Source organism: Homo sapiens, chromosome 8 (genome assembly GCF_000001405.40).
Source record: "Homo sapiens chromosome 8, GRCh38.p14 Primary Assembly".
Lineage (NCBI taxonomy): Eukaryota > Metazoa > Chordata > Mammalia > Primates > Hominidae > Homo > Homo sapiens.
Genome location: NC_000008.11, coordinates 125,326,073 through 125,349,706, shown reverse-complemented (window position 1 = coordinate 125,349,706; position 23,634 = coordinate 125,326,073). Strand labels below are relative to the sequence as shown.

Here is a 23,634-nt window from a genome sequence, read left to right as displayed (position 1 = left end):
CATCCCAAATTTGGCTACCAGTTAGAAAGTTTTATGCCAGCTGGGAATAAAATTTGATTGCTATGTACTTTTTCAATTAGGCTGGAACATTTCTTTTCTTTTCTTTCTTTTTTTTTTTTTTTTAAATACAAGCTCTCACTATGTTGCTGAGGCTGGTCTTGAACTCCTGGCCTCAAGGGATCCTTCCACCTTGGCCTTCCAAATTTCTGGGATTGTAAGCATTAGTCACCATGCCTGGCCTAAGCCTGAACATTTTCCTAAAAGCACTTTTCTCTTGAAACTATGAAAGTAGCATATGAAGAAAATACAAATATTTGTTGCCTGCTTGAAATGCTTATTAGGCTGCCCATATTATTTTACTTGCATTATTCCAAAGACAGTTTATTTGGAAAGGCTGAGCTGGTGCTTGGAAAATTTGGGGGTCACGCTAATGTGCAAAAGCACATTGATTCCAAGTTTGAAATTCTTTAGTTATAGCATGTGAGTATGTATCTGTGCCAATTCCTGATTTGTTTCTCCTACTCAGTAACCTATAGCTGGGGCTACCAGTAACCCCACCTGTGGACTCAGATACTTCTTAGGCTTTAAGTGGAAAAAGAGATATTCAGCAGGCTCAGTTCTTTTGGTTTGGAATTAAGAGCTCTGTGTGTGTGTGTGTGTGTGTGTGTGTGTGTGTGTGTGTGTGTGTGTGTGTGTTTTGCTTTGAGATCCACTCCTTGGTACTCTTGGGTGTCCAGCTTTGTACCTCAGTTTCCTCATGGGACTGGTGGCCTGTCCTGACTGCCAGCTGTTTGGTTGGGCCATGTTGTCATTTCCCTTCTGCAGGAAGCTGAATCCTAGGTTCCTGTATTAGTCCGTTCTCGTGCTGCTAATAAAGACACATCCAAGACTGGGTAATATTTAAAGGAAAGAAGTTTAATGGACTCACAGTTCCACGTGGCTGGAGAGGCCTTACAATCATGGAGGAAGACGAAGGAAGAAAAAAAGGACGTCTTACATGGCGGCAGGCAAGAGAGATGAGAACCAAGCGAAAGGGGCTTCCCCTTATAAAACCATCAGATCTCATGAGACTTATTCACTACCATGAGAAAAGTAGGGAGGACACCGCCCCCATGATTCAGTTATCTCCCACTGGGGCCCTCTCACAACACGTGGGAATTATGGGAGCTACAATTCAAGATGAGATTTGGGTGGGGACACAGCCAAACCATATAAGTTCCAATGCTCCCTGGTACCAGCTAAGACTCTGCTGTATGTGAAGACATTTCGCAGAATTCAGACGGAGATCATGATCAAATAGCACCTACACAATGAAAGATTCCCTAGATGTTACAACCTCACAGGATGGCAAAGTTCAACAAACATAAATTTCAACAAAAATACTAGAACACAGGTTGAATTAATATAATGTAATCAGAAAAATGGCTAGAACACAATAAGGATCCAATATGTTACTTATTTTGTATAGGTATTTATTAAAATCAACATTATATACTTCTGTAATTATAAAATTGTTACTGCTATTATTATTATTTTTACCACTGTTATCTGCTAGACATGCATGGTATTGGTGAAAAATAATCCTTGCCTTCAGGGAGCTCAGTCACACAGAACAGACACCTACAAAGCAAAGTGTTCTTGTGAAGGTCATGCATATACAAGATACTGTGGAAGGAAGGTCTCGAGAGAGAACAGGGTCAGCCTCTCTAAGGAGCTGATGTCTGATCTGGCTCAATGAGGAAGATCTTTCAGCGTACATTTTCTAAACAACTCTACCACCCCCTTAAATGTAAGCATTTCATTCATTGCCACCTCAGGTCAACATTCTGATCAATGTTCTTCCTCCTTTTCTTCTCTTAACTATAATCCATCCTCATCTCAGATTCTATGTACGTGGTGAAGCTATCTCTATCCAATCTAACCCAATGCAACTCAATCCACCCAACACAATCTCCATAGCCAATCTCCTTTCATTGAAATCTCATAATATCCACTGTCTATACCCACACTCTTTTAGCTCAAACTTCTTTCTTATTCTGTTGTTTCATGTGAATGGAACTTTCTTTTCCTGATACATTGAAAGCTCTTTGAGGACAAGCACTGTGTGTTTAAGTGAAGCTAACTCAACTAGACTTGCATTTATTGAACACTTACTCTGTGCCATGCACTACACCAAATTCCAGGTATAGATACAAAGAGGAATAAGATCGGGTCTGGTAGGAGAGACAGATATGAATATTTATATCCTGTGTGATCAGTGAAATATATACATTTTGTACAAAGTACAAAAGTATCTCTGGAGGTAGGGGAAGAGTCAAGGTGAGCCTCCTAGAAGAAGGTAATGACTCAGCCAGGCTCTCCAGGGAGGTGTGATAAGAAGAGGGAAGGATATTGAGACAATGAGGATTACAGTATTTAGGAACATGGGCTCTGGAAAGAGGCCTGCTTGGATTTGCCTGGTTCTATCATTATCAGCAGGGTGCTCTTGGGCAAATTACTCCATCTTTCTTTGTCTCAATCTTCTCAGCTATGAAATGGAGATACTAATGGTACTTACTTCATAGTGCTGTCTGAGGATTAAGTGAGTTAATGTATGAAAAGTTCTTAGCATGGTTCCTGGCAAATAGCAAGCTGTAGATAGCTGACACAGCACTATCAACATCTTCAATTTTTTTCTGTCTGCTTCCACTTCCATGGCTCTTTCGACACACTCCTCTGAAGATTTTGAAAGTAAACTGAATGAAGAGTTTCCTCCAAATGAGCTGACATTTTAGTAAGATATACCCTTTCATGTTATCATGTGCTTATAATTTATCTACTGTTGTTGCAGACATGTCCTTTGTCCTCAGCTGACATCATGTTATTAATTTGCCTCCAGCTATTAAATACTGTCCAAATATTAGGTTTAAAATAATCAAAACCCAGCACATTCAACTGGTAGGACAAAAATCGTCAGTTAAGATTTGGTCATACAATATCCACTTCAAACCAATAAATACTGGAAATACTCCCAAACTGAGCACCTGCATTTAATACCTCTTATAAGAAAAGGCTTGATGATCATCTCTAGGTCACCAAGCAGAAGCAGAAAATCTAATGCACACATTCTATTTCTTTTATCTGGGTAATGAACTAGGAAAACCAAATAATAGGGAAAGTCTGATTAGCCAGCATTGAGAAGGTCTACAATTTTCCATTATTTACATCCTCAGTAAAGTCTGAAGAAAGCAAAGATCAGAAGGTAAGGAGCGCCCTTTGCACTCATCTTCTTACATTCTCTTATTTTAGAGAGTTGTAAGTACCACCTGTGCAGGTACTCAAGACAGTACATGCAAGTTGTTCGTATAGCCTGTCCATTCTCCATCTTTATCTTGAGTCTGTCTCCTCCTCTTCATTTTCACTGCTGCTGTCCTACTTCAAACCCCCAACATTTCCAATTTGGATTACTGAAAAAAGTTCTTTATTCAGCTCTCTGCCTCAGTCTCCCCAGTCTATTCTTTCTATTCCAGCTGGTCATCTTTCTAAGACATGGCCTTCTTTTTTTTTTTTGAGACGGAGTTTCGCTCTTGTAGCCCAGGCTGGAGTGCAATGGTGCGATCTTGGCTCACTGCAACCTTTGCCTCCTGGCTTCAAGCGATTCTCCTGCCTCAGCCTCCTGAGTAGCTGGGATTACAGGCATGTGCCACCACGCCCAGCTAATTTTTTGTATTTTTAGTAGAGACGGGGTTTTGCCATGTTGGGCAGGCTGGTCTCGAATTCCTGCCCTCAGGTGATCTGCCTGCCTTGGCCTCCCAAAGTGCTGGGATTACAGGCATGAACCACCATGCCTGGCTGACCATGGCCTTCTAAGCATGACAACAAGACTCTTCGCTAGTTGGCCCAGAGTAAGTATCCTCATCTCCTACTCTACTCACTTCAATCCTATCCCCCATATCCATCCCAGACTGACTACAGTTCACCCATATTTAGCACATTAGTTTGTGCTTCTGCTGCTATCTCTTCACCTAGCAATCTCTGACCACCCTCCAAGACTCAATTCAGGCATTTCCTCTGTCAGGTGCTAAAGCAGAGGTGAGTCCTCCTCAGGACTCCAGGGTACCTTTTGTACCTACTGTAATCATTTGTTTACTTCTCTATCTTCCCTACCAGAATGTGGATTCCTTAAGGGAAGGAACTGTCTGATTCAGCTTCATGTTCTCAGTGAACCAGGCAATGTACAGGAACTTCATAAACGAATGGTTGCTGAAGTAAGAGAATGCTTTGAATACTGTCATGTACAAATTTACCACAATAAAAAGATGAAAATAGTGAAGAGGATTGTTTTGAAGACAAACATCTTAGAATAAGACAATTTGGTCCTTGAGTTAATTACTGATTTTCCAGAAAGAAAGCCACATTATACCGTGTAGGTCATACCATTGTTCATTCTCTGTTCCACTTCTGTACAAAAGCAAATTACCAAAAAGAAAGACGACGGAGGTCACATTGGTGGAAGAAATAAACTACTCCACATACGTATTTAGATCACCTCTGATTCTGTTCCCTGGCCAGAAACCATCTACGCCCCCGATCACCTCTGATTCTATTCCCTGGCCAGAAACCATCTATGTCCCCAGAAAAGTACAGAAGTACAGTAGTAATCGGCTGTCAAAAATGTGGAGGTTTTTTTTTTTTTTTAAGTTTGTTGACTTTACCAAGGTGGGACAGACATTCAATTACTGTTGTTTTTATAATAGAGAAACATTGGAGAAGTATAGATATCTGAAAGACTGAGAATTTAAGAGAACTGTAGAATTATGACTCACAAAATCTCAGTTTCTCTAGAATTTTCCTGGTTTTAAAAAATCTGATAGTTATTAAAAATAATCTTCAACATGAGGAAATGCTTACATTACATGAGGTGAAAAAACTGAAATTAAAATGTACATGTAGTACAATTAATTTTCTTTTCTTTTTTTTTTTTTGAGATGAAGTCTTGCTCTGTCAGCCAGGCTGGAGTGCAGTGGTGCAATCTTGGCTCACTATAGCCTCTGCCTCCTGGGTTCAAGCGACTCTCCTGCCCCAGCCTCCCAAGTAGCTGGGATTACAGGTGCATGCCACCACTCCTGGCTAATTTTTATATTTTTGGTAGAGACGGGGTTTCACCATGTTGGCCAGGCTGGTCTCAAACTCCTGACCTCAGGTGATTGCCCACCTCGGCCTCCCAAAGTGCTGGGCTTACAGGTGTGAGCTACCGTGACCGGCCATGATTCATCTTAAACAATGGTATATAGAAAAAAGATTGAAGGAATAGATGATGAAATGTTGCAGTCCATCCTGTGTGGGTGACATAACTACTGCATATTTGCACTAGGAGTAGAGGAATCAAGATTTCTGAGATATTTGGAGAGTAATTATTTAGCTTGAGCTTTTTATATCTAGTACTCTTCAAGAGACCAAATAATATTGATGAGGTAAGTAGGACTGACGGCAATGAGGGTGGATGGATTTGTTTATTCAATTAGTCAAATTGAAACAAATGATGAAATAAAGTCCAGAGATCATCATAGTAAAAAAGGGAACTTTAAGATTTACAATTGCTCAACTTTAAAACTGCAACATTTCAATTTGGGTAAGATGGGGCTATGACACCATTTCAATCCCTTGTATTTTCTAGATGTATTATCTTAAAAGCAGTTGTAATTTTTTTTGTTGTTTGTTTGAGATGGAGTCTCCCTCTGTTCCCCAGGCTGGTGTGCAGTGGCGCGATCTCGGCTCACTGCAAGCTCTGCCTCCCAGGTTCATGCCATTCTCCTGCCTCAGCCTCCCGAGTAGCTGGGACTACAGGCGCCCGCCACCACGTCCAGCTAATTTTTTTTTATTTTTCTTATTTTTTAGTGGAGACGGGGTTTCACCGAATTAGCCAGGATGGTCTCAATCTCCTGACCTTGTGATCTGCCTGCCTTGGCCTCCCAAAGTGCTGGGATTACAGGCATAAGCCACTGTGCCCGGCAGCAGTTGTAATATTTTAAACTTCTTGGATCCCTTACAAGGTTATATGTCATACTTTAATTTTTTTTTTTAATTTTTAGACAGGGTCTTGCTCTGTCACCCAGCCTGGAGTGCAATGGAACAATCTGGGCTTGCTGTAGCCTTGACCTCCTGGGCTCAAGCAATCCTCCTACCTCAGCTCCCCGAGTAGCTGGGACTATAGGTGCGTGCCAACACGCCTGGCTAATTCATACTTTAAATTTATATAATATGTTTTCTTCTGTCTCTTCTAATTTCAGAGACCTAGACAAACAATAATAAAATACTTGTACAGAATGTGAGACTTTAATAGCAAAATAAATCTAGACCTGATATCATAATTTGTTTTCTAAAGCTTCTCAAATCCTTTAAGGCTAAAAGGTAAAGAACCTCTGAAGATGTCTATTTTTGGATAAAGTGCAGTGAAGGAGGAAGTACCTGTGTTATAAGTTGTCACATCTGTTAGTGCTCAGCGCTGTCCTCAGATTGTAATGACTGGAGTATGTCCCCTCACCCACTGACCCCGAATCTAATCAAATATGTCGCCCCATAGGATTTACTCAGCGCTGTCATTACCAGATGCCCTGGAATCTTAGTATTAATGAAACATGCTTGTTTTTCCTTTTTACATGCATTTGATAGAGAGTATCAAGATTTATTTTTGATCCATTTAAACATTCTTCTTTCTAGTGGCACAATATACTCGTTTAAAAAAAAAGTCAGGAGAACAATCCCAAAAGGGTATTCAATCCGGAAGATATTAAAAAGATCAAAGCCCGAGGGTGCAAATCTAGTGAAGCCTAACAATCCTGTCAACAACAATGTGGGTGAAATCCCCAAAATGTAGCTCAGCTCCACGGCCTGACAAAGTGGTCAGAGCCAATCGAGGCAGGGCTACCTGAACTTCCAAGAGTAAGGAACACTCATCTGTGATGACATCTGTACTTAGTTTTCAGGGTCTTGTCTGAAGTTAGCCTAACAGAAAACATACCCCACAAAAACCTGCTGACTGGAAGGAAGAAATAAAATGAAAGTAAGAGAGAGGGAGGGAAAGAGGGAGGGAGGGAGGAGGGAAGGAAGGAGCTAAAAGATGAGGAAAATCTTTATTTCTGCAGAGCCCAAGGGAAGGCATCACTGAGTCAGCATCGTAGAACAAAGTCCTTGCCTCTAAGCCTTCCTTCCTCTCACCCACCCCCTCCTTGTCCACTTTCCATCCCTTTAAAATCCTCCCCACATGCAAAGGAAGACACATGACTTCAAAATCAGGATCAGCTTAGGACACAGCTCTTGTGAATGTGTACAACAGATCTGAGTCATTTGTTCATTTTGTAAACATGAAGAAATCACACTTTTCAAACTTCCTCCTTCATGACATTCACAGTGCTTGACAATATGCTTAGCATGGAACATTTACTCTTTTCCTTACCCACACCCAAAGGTGTCAAGAGGGACAGATGTTCTTTCTCACTGAAAGCTCACATATTCCAGGGCAGGTGACAATTACGAGTGAGCACAAGTAGAACCACAGAGAATGTGATGTCTATGAGCCTAGGCTGTGCCACACAGAAATAGAGTGCTGAGAAGCAGTCCAGGAGGGCATTTTATCAAGGCCACTGCCTTCCTCTAGGAAAACTTCTCACTCAGGGGTCCCCAGGAGTCTCCCCTTAACCCCCCCACCACCTGAGGCAATTAACATATCAAACACATCATTCATAATTATCTGTTTGTGTGGCTGTTTCCCCCACTAATCTGTAAGCTCCATGGGCAGAGACAGGTTTTTTTTTTTTTTTTTTTTTTTTTCCATTTCTAGATCCTCAGTGCATTGCACATGGACTCTCGATCCTAAAGGGTCCTTGGTGGCTTCAAGTTGGTTCTGCCCACTCTCTACCTCTTCTGCAAAGGAGTAAAGGAGTGCTCTGCAAGACCCAGAGACAACTGTTCTGTAGTTTCATACAAGAATGGACTTCGGGAGGGTAGGTTAAGTCTGGACCTTGGCTCTACCATAAATTGGGGGATAGGTGTCAAATTTCCTGTAGGCTATCACTTTCTTCTTCTCTGTATCATTAGGATACTGTGAAGATGGGATCAAGTGTTTTGCCCTCATTAGAGGAAAAAAAAAACTAACAGATGAATCAACGCAGTAACAAAAACCACATAAGGAGAACTCTGGAAATAGTTCCTGAAAGGGCAAGGCAGGGTGACTGGTTGATCTTGCTTCGCATTTTCAAAGCCTACGGGCCTGACTCCTAGCACTACAGTGTACATACTACCTGCAGTTGTAAGCGGGACAAAACAGAGGAAGCAAGAAAGGAGAAAAAGAGAGAAGAAAAAGACTCTCAGAACTTGCTTTATGAACTCTACAGGAAAATATAAAGATCCCAAATAGTGACCTTCCTCACCCCATAATGAAGATGATGCTGTTGGGTCACTAGCATAATCTACAGCCTGGCATGTGAATGACATCTGGGTCTTGCAGTAGGTAGTGAGTGCACACCAAGTAATGAGTGCCCCTCCCGCAGCATCGCAGAAGGACAAGGCTGGATTGCAGCTCTCCAGTTACTCTAACTACACTTTTATTCCTTAGCTAAAAATTCCCTTAAGACAAAAGAAAAAAAAATATGGAGAGGTGACTGGTTAAAGTGATTGGGAAAGCCTCTCTCTGAATTTGAGGCCCCCGACCACATGCCCAGTGAGGGAACACGTAAGCAGGGAATTCAGGAGCAAATAAAGGAGGCAGGCTAAAAATAAATGAAAGGTGAACATCAAGGAGGCAGAGAAATTATGCAGGGGATGTAATTAGCACACTAATTATCAGGGTCATAATTAGGAGCAATAGAATGAAATTGAGAAAAGGATAATTTTAATTGTTGGAAAGACCTTGTGAGGGAGAGATGAGTTTCTCATCCTCTTCACCCAGACTGAGGGCTATTCATCTGAACAAAGCTGGTTCAAAATGAGCTAGCAATTATTTAAAGAGAATTTTATTTTCGTTACCAAAAGTAGATTAGGTTACTTGATGACACACAGTGGCCTCTTGTATCTAATTTTATCATTCTGTCCTTTATTCTAAATTAAATAGTAAAATAGCTAATGACAAAAAAGCCAATGACTATTTCATTCCAAAAATATAATTCAGCATCTAAGGAGATCAAAATGGCAAAGCAGGAACAAGTAAAGAGAATAAAATGCAGTCAAATATGTTCAATTTACAACAGATTTATAGATGAGAAGGGAATACTAAAAATAGGACTTGTTTCTCATATTTTTCAGAGCTAATTCAGTTATTTTATTTTTCAGAAGTAATATAAAGACGGCCAAGAAACGTAACTAACCATTGTCACTAAACGGTAAAGAGCATTGGCTTTGAAATTTTAACCTAGTTTCACAATGACAGTCGAGTAGCATTTTCACAGTGGTTGGATAACTCAAACTTGCAGCCCTAAATATGGTTAAACGTCATGCTGTATTAGGCTAACACGGTGAAACCCCGTCTCTACTAAAAATACAAAAAAAAAATTAGCCGGGCGTGATGGCGGGCGCCTGTAGTCCCAGCTACTCGGGAGGCTGAGGCAGGAGAATGGCGTGAACCCGGGAGGCGGAGCTTGCAGTGAGCCGAGATTGCGCCACTGCACTCCCGCCTGGGCCACAGAGCGAGACTCCGTCTCAAAAAAAAAAAAAAAAAAAACAAAAAAAAACTACAACGTCGGAGGCTTATGGTTTCCCAGGATCAGGAGCAAAATTTAAAGAAAATTTATTTTCTCTTCCTCATTCAGGAGCCCAAGGTATGACTCATGCAACTTTCCTTCAGTAAATGTCTGCTGACCACCTCCCATTTCCCAGGCACAGAGGATGGGGTTGAAATAGACAAGGAAACCCACGACTGTAGCATAGTGTGACGGGCACCAGGAGAGAGGCAAGCTCAGGGGGCCACGGGAACTCACCAAGGACTTCTTAAAATGACTGGAGGCACAGTGACAGTGGGAGGAATCCTGAAGGAGAAGGAGTAGGATGAGCAAAGGCAAAAATGTGAGAGAAAGCACGGCTGCCACTCTGCCATTCTTAGTGGAGGGATTTGAAGGCAGCAATTCTAATGATATGTACAAATGCCTCATTATGTCCATTATGATACACTAGGGAATAGGAGCATCTGAAAGGCAGCTTTTCTAATGTTACTTAATATTTTCCCAGGATTATGATTATTTAAATGTCTCCTGAAATGTAAGCTATACAGAAGCTTGCCTGCATGCTTCCTCTTCCAACCACCCGCTCACCACTGTGTGCCTCTCATGTGTGGTAGGTTCTGCATACACCAAGATAAACAAGACAGAGCCCCCAATCCAAAGGACTCTAGTCTAGTGTTGGGGCAGACAGTGCCATTAGCATACAAGGGATAAGTTCTGCGAGCTTCTGCAGTGGACTCCTGAGGAAAAGGACCGTCCCAAGCAGTGTGGGGAGCTCACTCCAGCCCCCAAGGAGAGAGACCAGGTGCATTTGGAGAACTGTAAGCTGAGGAGAGAAAATTGAGGGTGGACAGGACTCAAGGCAGACCTGACAGAAGACACTGCAGAGCAGTGTCCCTTCCTCCAACAGCAACAAGGTGCCAGAGAGCTTTTTAAAATGTATCCTCTCCCCATGTGAATTACCAACATAGAACAGTTTTGACAGGATGTCTCAGGGTAAGGCACATCTTGTGATGAGGCACTTTGTGCTCTCCCCAGCCTGCTCATCCTTGACCTTCATGTCAACTGTAAATCTAGGGCAGAGCGTGAATTTAGTTTTCAGGGAATCCTTTAGAAATCTTTGGCCTAAACTGAGATGCTAAGATGTCAGAAGCACCATGATAGCCTAATTCGGTCCTTGTCAAGAAACCTTTTCCATAATCATTCAGTTTCATCATGCATACCATATTTATTACTCCTAGAATAAATTTCATTTATAACCCAACTACTGACAACAGATACTGAATTTTGAAAGGGTAGGCTGCCTGCAGACAGATCCAGAAGTAAAGTAGAGTTTACAACAGTAAGGATTTTATAATGCCAGGCTTTCATCTTGCATGATGTTAGCTGTAATTGCTAACTTGATTTTTCTTTTCTTCTCTGTATTGCTTCTGAGGTTATGATGAAATGTTTGTTGCTACTGCTAACGAAATTCAGAAAAGGACCATTGGTTTTCTATTCCACTTGGGAATTTTGATGCAATAGATGCTTGCACTCTGCTGTCAGGACAAACAAGACTTATTTTTCCAAGGTGCAAAAGGAACAAAGCTTTTCAAAAGAAAAGTGAGAAGAAAATTCAAGCCAAGAGGATTTTGGGAGATCCTGCAGGAAGAAACTTTTGCATTCTGTTCATCTCACTATATGAGAAATATTCCCAAGAACTTCTATATAAAAGGCAGCTTTTTTTTTTTTTTCCACCCAACATCTAGGTAGAAAAAGACAGTGCCTTCAAGACAACTGTTTGCCATTTAGAAGAAAATGGTGCTTTGGTGGAAAGGGCACCAGAATGACTGAAAGTTCCTGGCTCTGCCACTAGTCAGCTATGTGACCTGGGAGGTCACATCATGTATACCACCTTTCTCCACCTTGTTTCCTCTCCAGCCTGAAAAGGGATGAGAATTAGAAGGAGGGTGGTCTCTCTAGTATCAAAAATCCATTCCAGCTTTAAATGCTTTATCCTTTCAATCATTATCAACATTTTATCCTGAGAGGAATCAGACTATCTTAAAAAGAAGCAGAAAAATGACTCCTTATGCTGCCATCTCCAGGCAAACCTGTTGTTTTCTTTCTTTCTTTTTTTTTTTTTTTTTTTTTGAGATAGAGTTTCGCTCTTGCCCAGGCAATGGTGCGATCTTGGCTCACCGCAACCTCCACCTCCCAGGTTCAAGCAATTCTCCTGCCTCAGCCTCCTGAGTAGTTGGGATTACAGCCATGTGCCACCACGCCCGGCTAATTTTTGTATTTTTAGTAGAGACGGGGTTTCTCCATGTTGGTCAGGCTGGTCTCAAACTCCCGACCTCAGGTGATCCGCCAGCCTCGGCTTCCCAACATGCTGGGATTACAGGCTTGAGCCACCACGCCCGGCCAAACCTGTTGTTTTCTAGAGTCAACATACAGTATTTGCAAGTCAAACTTGCATAACATTCTACCTTATGTTACAGAAATAGGTGGCCATTAGTAATCTGGCAAATAAAATTAGGATTTCAAGTGATGAAAACATGTTTCACTATGACCAATATTAAGTAAATTGAGCAACAGAGATAATTGCCCAAGTATGGCAGGTAGGTGCAATGTGGTTATTACTAACATTCTGAAAATTGTATTCAGGAAACCTTATAATCACAGCATTATTTTATAAGAGTCAATGGACTACAAAGAAGAATTATGTTCAGACCTGTCATAGACTTAGAGGGGGTGTAGGGTTGCAAGTCAGCAACAATAAGAGAAGTTAAATCAGTGGCTGGAATATGTTTTCCCAGTGAGAGGAAACAGACTTCTTACTGTGCTATGGACTCTTACCTACTTTAAAGGGCAAATGTTTGCCCATTCTTTCCGTACCTCAAGACTACAGAAACCTAATATAGGCTAACCCCATTTTCTCAAATTATAATTATTTTTTCAAAGACCTCTACCATTAGTTGCAATTCATGCAAACCCATAATTTCACAAACAATAAGAAGCCTATGTCACTGAAAAAGGCAAGAGGATCAGATGTTGGGATATTACTAAACACAGATGACCAAATCACAGTGTTAGCTGGAGGAGAAGATTCCCATAGTTCCCAGATGGGAGTGAATGGATGAATGCCTATGTTGCCAATAGGACTGATCAGTTTAAAAATGTGAAAAACCACCCACTGGAGTCAGTATTTTTCTTGGAACTATAATCTGAAGATGCATCAACCTGGAAGCCCAACTATGTAGACTAGAAGTGCTTGCAAAGAATTTGTTCAAAAAGGAACTCGCAGTTCTCCAAAGAGAGAATTAAATGCAGCTAATATTTAATCTTCCATATACCAGGTAGTAAAATGCCACACATGGCAGATGAAACTGTGAACCCAACCATGTGAATTTCCTTGTAGCCAACTTCTCCCATTTCTACTCTGCAGCAGTATCACCCAACAAAGCCACCCATATCCTCATCACTTCTCCAAATCCACTCTGATCCTCATCATCCTCTCATAGCTTCTGACTCTGCATATAACCAATCCTCCTTCCCCTTCTCCAACTTCTGGCTGAAGCAGTGTGGCAGAAGCAAGGGATTCAGAGTCAGACCTGGGACAATCCTGCCTCCCCTAGCTATTTGATCTCGGGAAAATGACCACCTCTCAGAGCCTTAGTTTCCCCATCTGTAAAATGGGAGAAGACTTAACTGGCAGGACTACTGTAAGGACTGAGTATTTAACTGAGTATTGAATTGAATTTAATTGAGTAATTGATTATTTAATATGCCCAGCACATAATAAAATGCTCACAGGTCTTCTCTTCCTTTCCTTTCCTTCTTCCCTGGATTCCATGATACTAGAGGTGTTTGCTTTTACATTCTGCCTCAATGCTCTGTCCTTCCTATCTTCAAAGCCATATCAATGGTTCCTTTCTACCAGGAGTGGGGTCCTGTCAGGCTTAACTTTCCCTACTCTTCTCCCTTTATTACAAGGTGCTGTGTGATAACATCTGTCCTCTCCTAGCTTGTGATTTTCCTAATTCTTATCTATTCACTTCCATGCTACAGTGTCTTAGTACAATGTCATATATACACAGATCCAAAAGTGATGTTTTCTGAGGCTCTATCTCACTTGATGACACTATATCGTCTCTTTAGATGACACACCAACCTACCTATTCACTTTGAACTTTCCCCTTTGGTTGAGCAATGCCTAGTTCTTAAACACCCTAATCATCAGTAACTCTTACTATAAATGACATATGCTTATCTTTCTTTGGAAATTCTTCATCTCCTCTATCTCACTGGGTCACGTCACCATGTCAATGATCTGTCAAATAAGGAACCTTAGTCATTTCTGCTCATCCTTTCTTGGGCATAATTCAGAACACTGAGAGAGCTTGTGTGGTTTTCCCACCCTCACTGCATGGAGTATCACCCCCATTTTGCTCCTTTGTTTGTTTATAGACAATAATGGAAATTTTTAGTTACCTCCTGGCTGGCTATCCATAACTATCTCTAATATTCTTAGAGAGGGCTTAAGGTGTAGCAGACATATTTGGAAGGATCCAGCAGGGGCTTAAATACTGCCTGCCTCAGTCCCTCTGTGTTTTTGAGCAAGTTACCTAATCACCTTGAGTGCGTTTTGTCATACGCACAGGGGAAACACCTGTCTGGATGAAAATACCTGTCTGGTAGGGCTGTTCTGAGGATAAAGGCATTTTATGTAAAACGCTAAACATGGGGCTTGGCACATAATCGCTGTTTAAAAATGGTGGCAATGATTTCCTTAACCCTCCAGAGCTGCTTCCCATACCTCCTCACTCCATCATGTGTCATTACAGCCCCTCCCTTGGCAGTAATTCTGAGTGGGTGGCTTCCTTCTCAGAGTCCTGTTGGGACTTCACTCTGTGGTACAAAACACCCTCAAGAATTGCTTCAAGACTTCTTTCCAGATTGCTTCAAGATACTTCGCAATCTGGTCAGGTACTGCGGCTCACGCCTGTAATCCCAGCAATTTGGGAGGCTGAGGTGGGAGGACTGCTTGAGGCCAGGAGTTTGAGATGAGCGTGGGCAACATAGTGAGACTCCGCCTCTACAAAAAAATAAAAGATTAGCCGGGTGTGGTGGTGTACATCCTGTAGTCCCAGCTATCAGGAGGTTGAGGTGGGAGGATTGCTTGAGCCTGGGAGGTCACTGCACTCCAGCCTGGGTGACAGAGCGAGACTGTGTCTCAAAAAAAAAAAAAAAAAAAAAAAAAAAAGAAAAGATACTTCATAATCTTTTTTGGCCCAATCCTTCGTACACATAGTCTGCCCACCATCCCCAAAGTCATCCTCTGAGCTCTAACCGCCTCATTTCAAGACATCCTTGAAACTAACTCCAAACTAAAGCCTTTCCAGATTGACTATAATGGACACTTGCTACATTCCAACCCGTGAGAAAAACAATTCCCCTCCAGCAGGGGGAGGTGGGAAGGACTCAGCCTTGGTGGGTCACACATCCCGCTCTCAACGTGCCATGTGACCTGAGCTGCAGCACTTCGGTCCTCTAAGCCAGGGGCGCAGAATGGGTGTCCCCATGCTCCTTCTAGGCTCTCTGAATTCAACGTTCATGGATCCCCTGTTCTGTTGCTGTGTGAATAACCTTTATGTCCCTTGCCTCAGCGCTGTTCTCAAGGGCAGAGACCATTATCTGGGTAACTCACTTAGCACAGCCTGGAGCGCTGTGCTACAGATAGTACTTAACGCATGCATTTAGATGACAATGATCAAAGCACCTCCAGTGAGGCACAGACAGCTGCCACTAGATGACTCAGACCTCTCTGCAAAATGGCTTAATTTAGCACCCTTTCAGTTGTCTAAAGAACAGACTCTGAGTAAAGGACAAAGTGAACTGAACACCCTTTAACTAATTTAACCTCACAATGGCCCTTTAAGGTCAGGAGTTATTATCTCTACAGTACAGATGAGAAAGTACAGACACAGACAACTTTGTCTGTTTATCCTGAGTCCACGGCAGACCCAGGAGCATGAAGGAGTAGTGGAAAAAAACCTGCACTGACTGTGAGGGTGACCTGAGCTCTGAGCAGGCCTCTGCCATTCATGAGTTCAGCATGCCACTGATCTTGGTGGAGGTACTCCTCTCCTTGGGCCTTATTTTCTTCATCTGGGAAATGGCCTCGCAGTGGTTCCAAACTTGGTGGTATCAGAACCACCAGGAAGGCCGGGCGCGGTGGCTCACGCCTGTAATCCCAGCACTTTGGGAGGCCGAGGCGGGCGGATCACGAGGTCAGGAGATCGAGACCATCCCGGCTAAAATGGTGAAACCCCGTCTCTACTAAAACTACAAAAAATAGCCGGGCGTAGTGGCGGGCGCCTGTAGTCCTAGCTACTTGGGAGGCTGAGGCAGGAGAATGGCGTGAACCCGGGAGGCGGAGCTTGCAGTGAGCCGAGATCGCGCCACTGCACTCCAGCCTGGGCGACAGAGCGAGACTCCGTCTCAAAAAAAAAAAAAAAAAAAAAAAAAAAGAACCACCAGGAAAACTACATTAGAAAGAAATCTAGCAAGGCGTGGTGGCTTGCACCTGTAATCTCAGTGACTCTGGAGGCTGAGGCAGGAGGATCACTTGAGGCCAGGAGTTCGAGACCAACCTGGGCAACTTAGTGACACCCTGTCTCTAAAATAAAAAATAAAAAATTACCCAGGCATGGTGGCATGTGCCTGCAGTCCCAGCTACTTGGGAGGCTGAATGGGGAGGATTACTTGGGCCCAGGAGGTCAAAGCTGCAGTGAGCCGTGATCGTGCCACTGTATTTCAGCCTTGGCGACAGAGCGAGACTCTGTTTCTAAAAAAAGATAAAAAGAAAAAAAAAAAGAAATCTAGATTCTTAGGTCTACTGTTGGAGATTCTGATTCGGCAGGTCTGGAGTGGGGACCAAGACACCTTTATTTTCTGTATGGGTCCCCCATTTTGGAACGAAGCTCACTGGCAACAATCAATGTCTATGATACTGGGTTCACAGCTCAGTGTTCCACTCAGACAACTCTGTCTCTTCCAAGTTCCAAAACTGATTAGATCATCTTATCCCTCTCTCTTGAGGTCCCAAACTGGATGATTTCCAAGCACATTGCAGGGTAGCTTACCACATTCAGGACAACTCAAAGAATTTTGAAATCAAAGGTTGGTTCATAAGACTAAACGGCTTCTCACAGGGTCAACTAAAGAGGTAATCTTGTTTTGACAGAAATCTAAGCTAAAGTGCAGGAACCTCTCCCTGAGCAAGCTTCTTGTAACCAAAATGGAACCCTGAAGGGGATAGGGGAAAGAAAAATGGAACAAGCTTGCTATAGCAGTGTACAAAGCATTCTGTTTAAAAGAAAACTTGTAATATATCTGGATTAGCTTGACTAGAGCTTAAATATTCAATGAAAATCTTAACAAGGAAAGAACTAACCTAAGAACCTGTTTGTTTTGTAATATGAGGACTATTATTTACTGAAAGCTTACTATGCACCAGCTTCTACGCTAACTATTTTATAGGCATTGCACCATTTAATTGATACAACTCTGATGCGAGTACTATATTATTCACATTTGAATGAAAACTGAAGTTCACAGAGCTAGCCAAGCCCAGGTATATTTCACTCCATAAACCATACAATACTATTAGCATGGTCTTACTACCTCATGTATCTAAGGTCAAAATTTCTAGAATATCTAACAGTGAAGAGGAAGACTCAGCAAATCTGCCAATTTTCTAAGAATCTATGAATTAGAGACAAAAATATGCCCTTTATAGAATTCTCAAATTTTGACTTAGCATCGGTGACTGGCAAAATAATTCTCAAATTTGCTTTATTTAGGAGAATTTATTCAAATGGGAAGAGGATAATAAATAAAATTTAGAGTACAACTCCTGTTCTTGATGTCGATTTGCTTGTGCCCTTGAAAAGCCAGTTTTCATATCTGGCTGTGGGCTTCATATCAGCAGAAGGAGGGTGATAGCAGCTACTTACATGGCAGGGATGTTGTGAGAATTAAATAGATTAAGTCCACAAAGCAGCTTTGATCTCCTTAGAGAAAGTGCCAAATAAATGAAATATGGAACTACTGTTTGCCCTTGCACAGGCCATATCTGACTGAAGTTTACAAGAAGTACCCAGACCAGACTTCTTCCACTGCTCCTTCCGAAATTTTACCCCTGCAAAGTAAATTTGTGATTGCAAGAAGTGGACCATGCTATACGCTGAAACTTTACCGTTGACTGAAATTTGAAAGAAAGTAAGTTGCTCTTACATTCCTTGCAGGGGATTTGGGTTCTGAAGCAGTGAAATAACTTCTAACAATGTGGTCTGATTTTGAAGGCAGTCCCCAAACTGTGCTATTCTGAAGGATTAAGAGAAAAGTGTATAAAAAGAATCTGGTTATTTTGTTAAAAAAAAAAAGATCGTTTTTAAACTTCAGGGAGGAGAAAATCTATAGTTTTCATCTTTCCCATGCTAAGTTTTCCTACCCTGCCTGCAGTTACTCTTCCCCATTACCCAGCACTTGACATTTACACAGTGCTTTACAATCTTTTTATTATCTAATGTTCACAAGCACCCTATGAGGGAGGGCCCTGAGTACTGATAACAATTTTACAGGTGAGGAAACAGTCACAGACATCTAATGACTTGTTCAAAATTATGAGAAACCTTTTTTTAAAATTATTACTATTATTATTTTTTATTTTTTGAGACGGAGTCTCGCTCTGTCACCCAGGCTGGAGTGCAGTGGCGCTATCTTGGCTCACTGCAAGCTCCGCCTCCCGGGTTCACGCCATTCTCCTGCCTCAGCCTCCCGAGTAGCTGGGACTACAGGCGCCTGCCACCAAGTCCGGCTAATTTTTGTATTTTTAGTAGAGACGGGGTTTCACCATGTTGGCCAGGATGGTCTCGATCTCTTGACCTCGTGATCCGCCTGCCTCAGCCTCCCAAAGTGCTGGGATTACAGGTGTGAGCCACCGCGCCCAGTCACCTTTCTTTCTTAATATATGACACAATACCACCTTTTTCACATCATGTGTGTGAAAGAGGTGGTAACACAAAAATCTAATGAGTAAAGGGAACAAAGTTTGAGTTTCTCTTTCAGTGGACTCTGCATTACATTAAAACTGAAAGGAGCTGTGGTCACCTAGTCCAAACCCCACACTTGACAGCTGGGGCCTAGAGGGAGGTAAGTGCTCCAGGCCACGTGCTTGTGGGAGGCAATGTTGGGTGATCATCACTCCTCCAAAGCCTCTGGCGTTTCCCACTCCTCCTGCTTCTTATTGGGAAGAGCTAGCTCTAAATTCTGTTTCCTTTAGTACCTAGCGTACATTCGAGGCTTAAGAAATAAACGTAATTAGGCATGGAATGAAATCTGGAGTTGCCCAGGTGCGAGCTTATTTTTGGCCCATGCATTCCTCAGAGCAGATCTGTGTTTCTCTAAGGGTAGCCTTCCTCCCTGAGGTTGGGGATTGGCAAGAGGGCAGGAGATTTCCACACTTCTTCATGGTGTGTCCAAAAACTAGTTCTGGGGGCTGGGCATGGTGACTGACACCTGTAATCGCAGCACTTTGGGAGGCCGAGGTGGGTGGATCACTTGAGGTCAGGAGTTCGAGACCAGCCTGGCCAACGTGGTGAAACCCTGTCTCTACTAAAAATACAAAAATTAGCCGGGTGTGGTGGCACACGCTTGTAATTCCAGCTACTTGGGAGGCTGAGGCAGGAGAATCGCTCGAACCGGGAGATGGAGGCTGCAGTGAACCTAGATCGTCCCATCGCACTCCAGCCTGGGTGACAGAGAGAGACTGTCTCAAAAAAAAAAAAAAAGAAAGAAAAAAGAAAAAGTTAGTTCTGTTTTTCCCTAACAAGAAGGCAGACTTGTTTCCATCCTTCTGAAAGCGACGTGCCCCGAATCTGTAAAGCTACCTGTTCCCTCCCATTCCTAGGTCATACCCCTTCCTCCTGTAGCTTACCCACCTTTGGCTTTAACTCCCAACCTCAGGGTCAATGATTCTAGGTAATGATGGTTCTTTCGGAGGGGGCTGGAGAGAAGTGATAGTAACAAAAAAAATAACAACCAGTCTTACTACATGGTATCACCACCACCACCTCCATGGCCACCTGTCAGTTTACTGAGTGCTAACTATCTACCAGGCCTTGAACTGAGTGAACACTGTGTGAATTAATTCACAATGTGTCTCACAACAACTCTATGAGGCAGGTTGCAAATATTATCCCCATTTTACAGATGAGGAAACCGAGGTCCAGAGAGGTAAACTGGCCTGATATTTGCCAGGCAGCTAATAAGTCTGATCCCAGAGGCCATACTTATCACTCTCTCTACTGTGATGGAGCCACAAGATTAAAAAGGGCCCCCAGACTCCCAAGGTTTGTCCCAGTATATCGGAACAAGCTAGACAGGTGTGTTGCTGAGGACTAAGATCTGCTGGCAATGAGGTTGTCTATAACTAAAGGCAGACGTGGATTCCAACTAAAACATCAACATAAACACCTAACCCTCAATGTAAACAAAACATGATGCTTGTTCAAAAGGAAATCTTCTTGGTAACTAAAAAGAAAGGAAACAGGATATCAAAAAACAATGGCGGTCTCCAGGTTTTGTGACAGCTCTGAAGAGCCAAGCTGATAGGAGCCCTGCTCACAGCCAAAAAGCTCCTGTAGTGGGAGCTCCTGCTGTCCCCAGATTGAAAGGACCTGGGCTGAAACTGCAAGGCTGTGCCAGGTTTTAAACACATCCAAGAACATCCTAATTAAAGTCTCACTGAGATAACCTGGTAAGGAAGGATTGCCCGCTGCTGGGGACTGAGGTCAGGCTGGTCTTGCTGTCATTCAGATCTTGGTTTCCCAGGTAGGGATTTTACCAAGCATGAGGTCCTACCTTGATGTTGCTGCAACATGATTCAAGGGTGGTTTTCTCCACATCTTAACTAATACAGTAGCTGTCTTGGTCACAACTCAGTCTTGGATGAGTCTGGACACTGCCGCTCACATTTCCTTGGTCTGCAGACTGTCTGATGGGACAGGCCTCATGCAGGCAGCCAAGAAGGTGCTGAACTGGGGGCCAGGAGTTCTGACTTCGGGTCTCACTGAAACAGTGACTAGATGTTTCCTCATCTCTGAGAGGGTTGGGACTAATGACCTTGGATATTATTTCTAGCTGTGACATTTTAAGATTATAACTCCCCTGCCACTAAAAATAAAACAGAAAAAAAAACAGAAAGTGGAGACCCAGATGACAGGGATGAATGAAAAGGTTGCTACTGTTTCTGATGAAACACCGATGATAGATAGCAAATCACTGATTCATGCCAGAAATAAAACACTACACATTGAGAATTTGTGCACCAGCCTGTGAATCATGTGGAGAATCCTCAAGACCACATTTTTGAAAATCCCTGAGTTGGGCTCTCATGAGAGAACTACTCATCCTCTGGCTTGGCAGCGAATTCTGAAACCAGCAGGCCTTGGTGTCCAGATCTACTCCAGTGAAAACGTGTGTTAAGATACTCCTTGTGCCTGGCACACAACCCAATCCAGGCCCTCGAGGTGCTCAGCAATTTGCACGTTCATAGCTCTCCATGTGCTTTTATACACCTTTCTTTTATTCTTTCACTAGACTCTGATGAGACAGGCATGAAAATTGATTCTTAAATGGAGACTACAGTTATTATACTTAGCTCCATCCCATGACCTCATAAACAATTCAAAAATTTTCTAAAGACAGAGGCATCATGAAGATTCATACATCAAGTTTAGAATATTGTTTCTTGTGGACATGATTCTGACTGTCAATTTCAATGTCATAACTTAAGAATCTGTTAAAAAAAAAAAAAAAAGGCCAGTGAGAAGTCTTTGGATGATGCCTGCCTCTTAAAAGTGACTATACAACCTGGAAAAATGGCCAGTACTATTTCCTCAAATGTTAGTCTCACTAAAGCAAACAGTTTTAAAAAATGATTTTCCTTGTGCTAGAAAACCTCACCCATAATTATGATAGTTCTTGAATATGGCAATCTTTTATTGAGGAGGAGCTCTTTAATATATACTAACCTCAAAAGGTTCAAAGGGAGTTCCCAGATTACCTTGATATTAATCTATTCAGACCCATTTAGAGATGTCAAGAATCTCTGTAAACCCATTCATGATAATCCCTATGGTAATTAGTTACCTAATACAGTCATGCCTTTAAATCCTAAAACAATTGTATACATATATTTTGTGGTTACTTATACTATATTGGAGAAATGGAGTACTTCAGGTCAAACCTTCAAGTCCTGTAATATTCTAAAGAAATCTTACTTTTAACACCTTTTATTTCCTTATATTCTGTGCCCAACACCTGTATGGACAAAGACTTCTAGCCTCCTTAGTTCTGTACCTACCCTCTCTCTTGTCTATAGCTCTCACATACTACAAAATGGTAGATGTTTTAGCTCAAATTAAAGACTTAAAAAAAAACACTCTCTTACTTTAATCTGATCAAGAAATAAGGTGTAAAATATTTTAGTTATTTGGGACAAACCCACAACATCAATTTTCTAACCCAGAATTATCTTTAAAGCCTCCTAAAAAGACAGCAGCTACTCAGATGAATAAACAAACTGGATTATGTTTCAGTCATATAGTTTTCAATTGGTAATTATACTACATTCATTCAGTAATTATATTTCAATTATAGTTCCCAATTTTGGTTTCTCTCTCTTTTTTTTTTTTTTTTTTTTTGAGATGGAGTCTTGCTTTATCGCCCAGGCTGGGGTGCAGTGGTGTGATCTTGGCTCACTGCAACCTCTGCCTCCCAGGTTCAAGCGATTCTCCTGCCTCAGCCTCCTGGATAGCTGGGATTACAAGTGCTCGCCACCACGCCGGCTAATTTTTTTTTATAGTTTTAGTAGAGATGGGGTTTTACCATGTTGGACAGGCTGGTGTGGAACTCCTGACCTCAGGTGATCCACCTGCCTCGGCCTCCCAAAGTGCTGGGATTACAGGTGTGAGCCACCTCGCCTGGCCCTCTCTCTCTCTCTTTTTTTTTTTGAAATGGAGTTTTGCTCATGTCACCCAGGCTGGAGTGCAGTGGCGAGATCTCAGCTCACTGCAACCTCTGCCTCCTGGGTTCAAGTGATTCTCCTGACTCAGTCTCCTGAGTAGTTGGGATTACAAGTGCCCGCCACCACGACCGGCTAATTTTTGTGTTTTTAGTAGAGATGGTGTTTTGCCACATTGGCCAGGCCTGTCTCAAACTCCTGACCTCAGGTGATCCACCTGCCTCGGCCTCCCAAAGTGCTGGGATTACAGGCGTGAGCCATTGCGCCTGGCCCGCCTTTTTTATCTTTTTAACCAATCTTTTTTTTAAACTTATAAAAGAATATGCACATATATGGTTTTCAAAAAATTCAACAAAAGTGAATAAAATCAGAAGTCCTCTCTCTCTTTTCCACAATCCCACAATGCCAATTCTCAGAAACAACCACTGTAAGCTTTTGTATATGCTCAAGAAATCCCTCACATACACACAGTGTATATACACAAACTATATATACATATATGTAAATAGACACACACATACATATCTACAAATACACACACACACATATATATAATGCCTATTTTTACTCAAAGAGATATGCAAATACCTTGCATTTTTACATCTAATAATTTATTTGGGGGATCATTTCCTATTGACACATACAGGATGACTTGATTTTTATTTTTATTATTTATTTTAATTTTTTTTGAGATGGAGTCTCACTCTTTTGCCCAGGCTGGAGTGCAGTGGCGCAATCTCGGCTCACTGCAAGCTCTGCCTCTCGGGTTCACGCCATTCTCCTGCTTCAGCCTCCCGAGTAGCTGGGACTACAGGCGCCTGCCACCGCACCCAGCTAATTTTTTGTATTTTTAGTAGAGATGGGGTTTCACCA

At 42.2% G+C, this 23,634-nt stretch overlaps 1 protein-coding gene across 14 annotated transcripts in view, besides 3 other annotated features; it reads right to left on the bottom strand.

Moving 5' to 3' along the window:
• Positions 1–23,634, bottom strand: part of NSMCE2 (NSE2 SUMO ligase component of SMC5/6 complex) — a 275,261-nt gene that overhangs the window by 17,414 nt on the left and 234,213 nt on the right. The window lies entirely within an intron of this gene.
• Positions 14,975–15,792: an enhancer, noted in NCBI's record as "NANOG-H3K27ac-H3K4me1 hESC enhancer chr8:126346157-126346974 (GRCh37/hg19 assembly coordinates)". NCBI's record gives its function as "activates a minimal SCP1, AML or CMV promoter by ChIP-STARR-seq in primed H9 embryonic stem cells {active_cell/tissue: H9 hESC(primed)}" and the evidence as "EXISTENCE:reporter gene assay evidence [ECO:0000049][PMID:30033119]".
• Positions 15,184–15,233: an enhancer, noted in NCBI's record as "active region_27912". NCBI's record gives its function as "activates an Ori minimal core promoter by ATAC-STARR-seq in GM12878 lymphoblastoid cells {active_cell/tissue: GM12878}" and the evidence as "EXISTENCE:reporter gene assay evidence [ECO:0000049][PMID:35858748]".
• Positions 15,274–15,323: an enhancer, noted in NCBI's record as "active region_27911". NCBI's record gives its function as "activates an Ori minimal core promoter by ATAC-STARR-seq in GM12878 lymphoblastoid cells {active_cell/tissue: GM12878}" and the evidence as "EXISTENCE:reporter gene assay evidence [ECO:0000049][PMID:35858748]".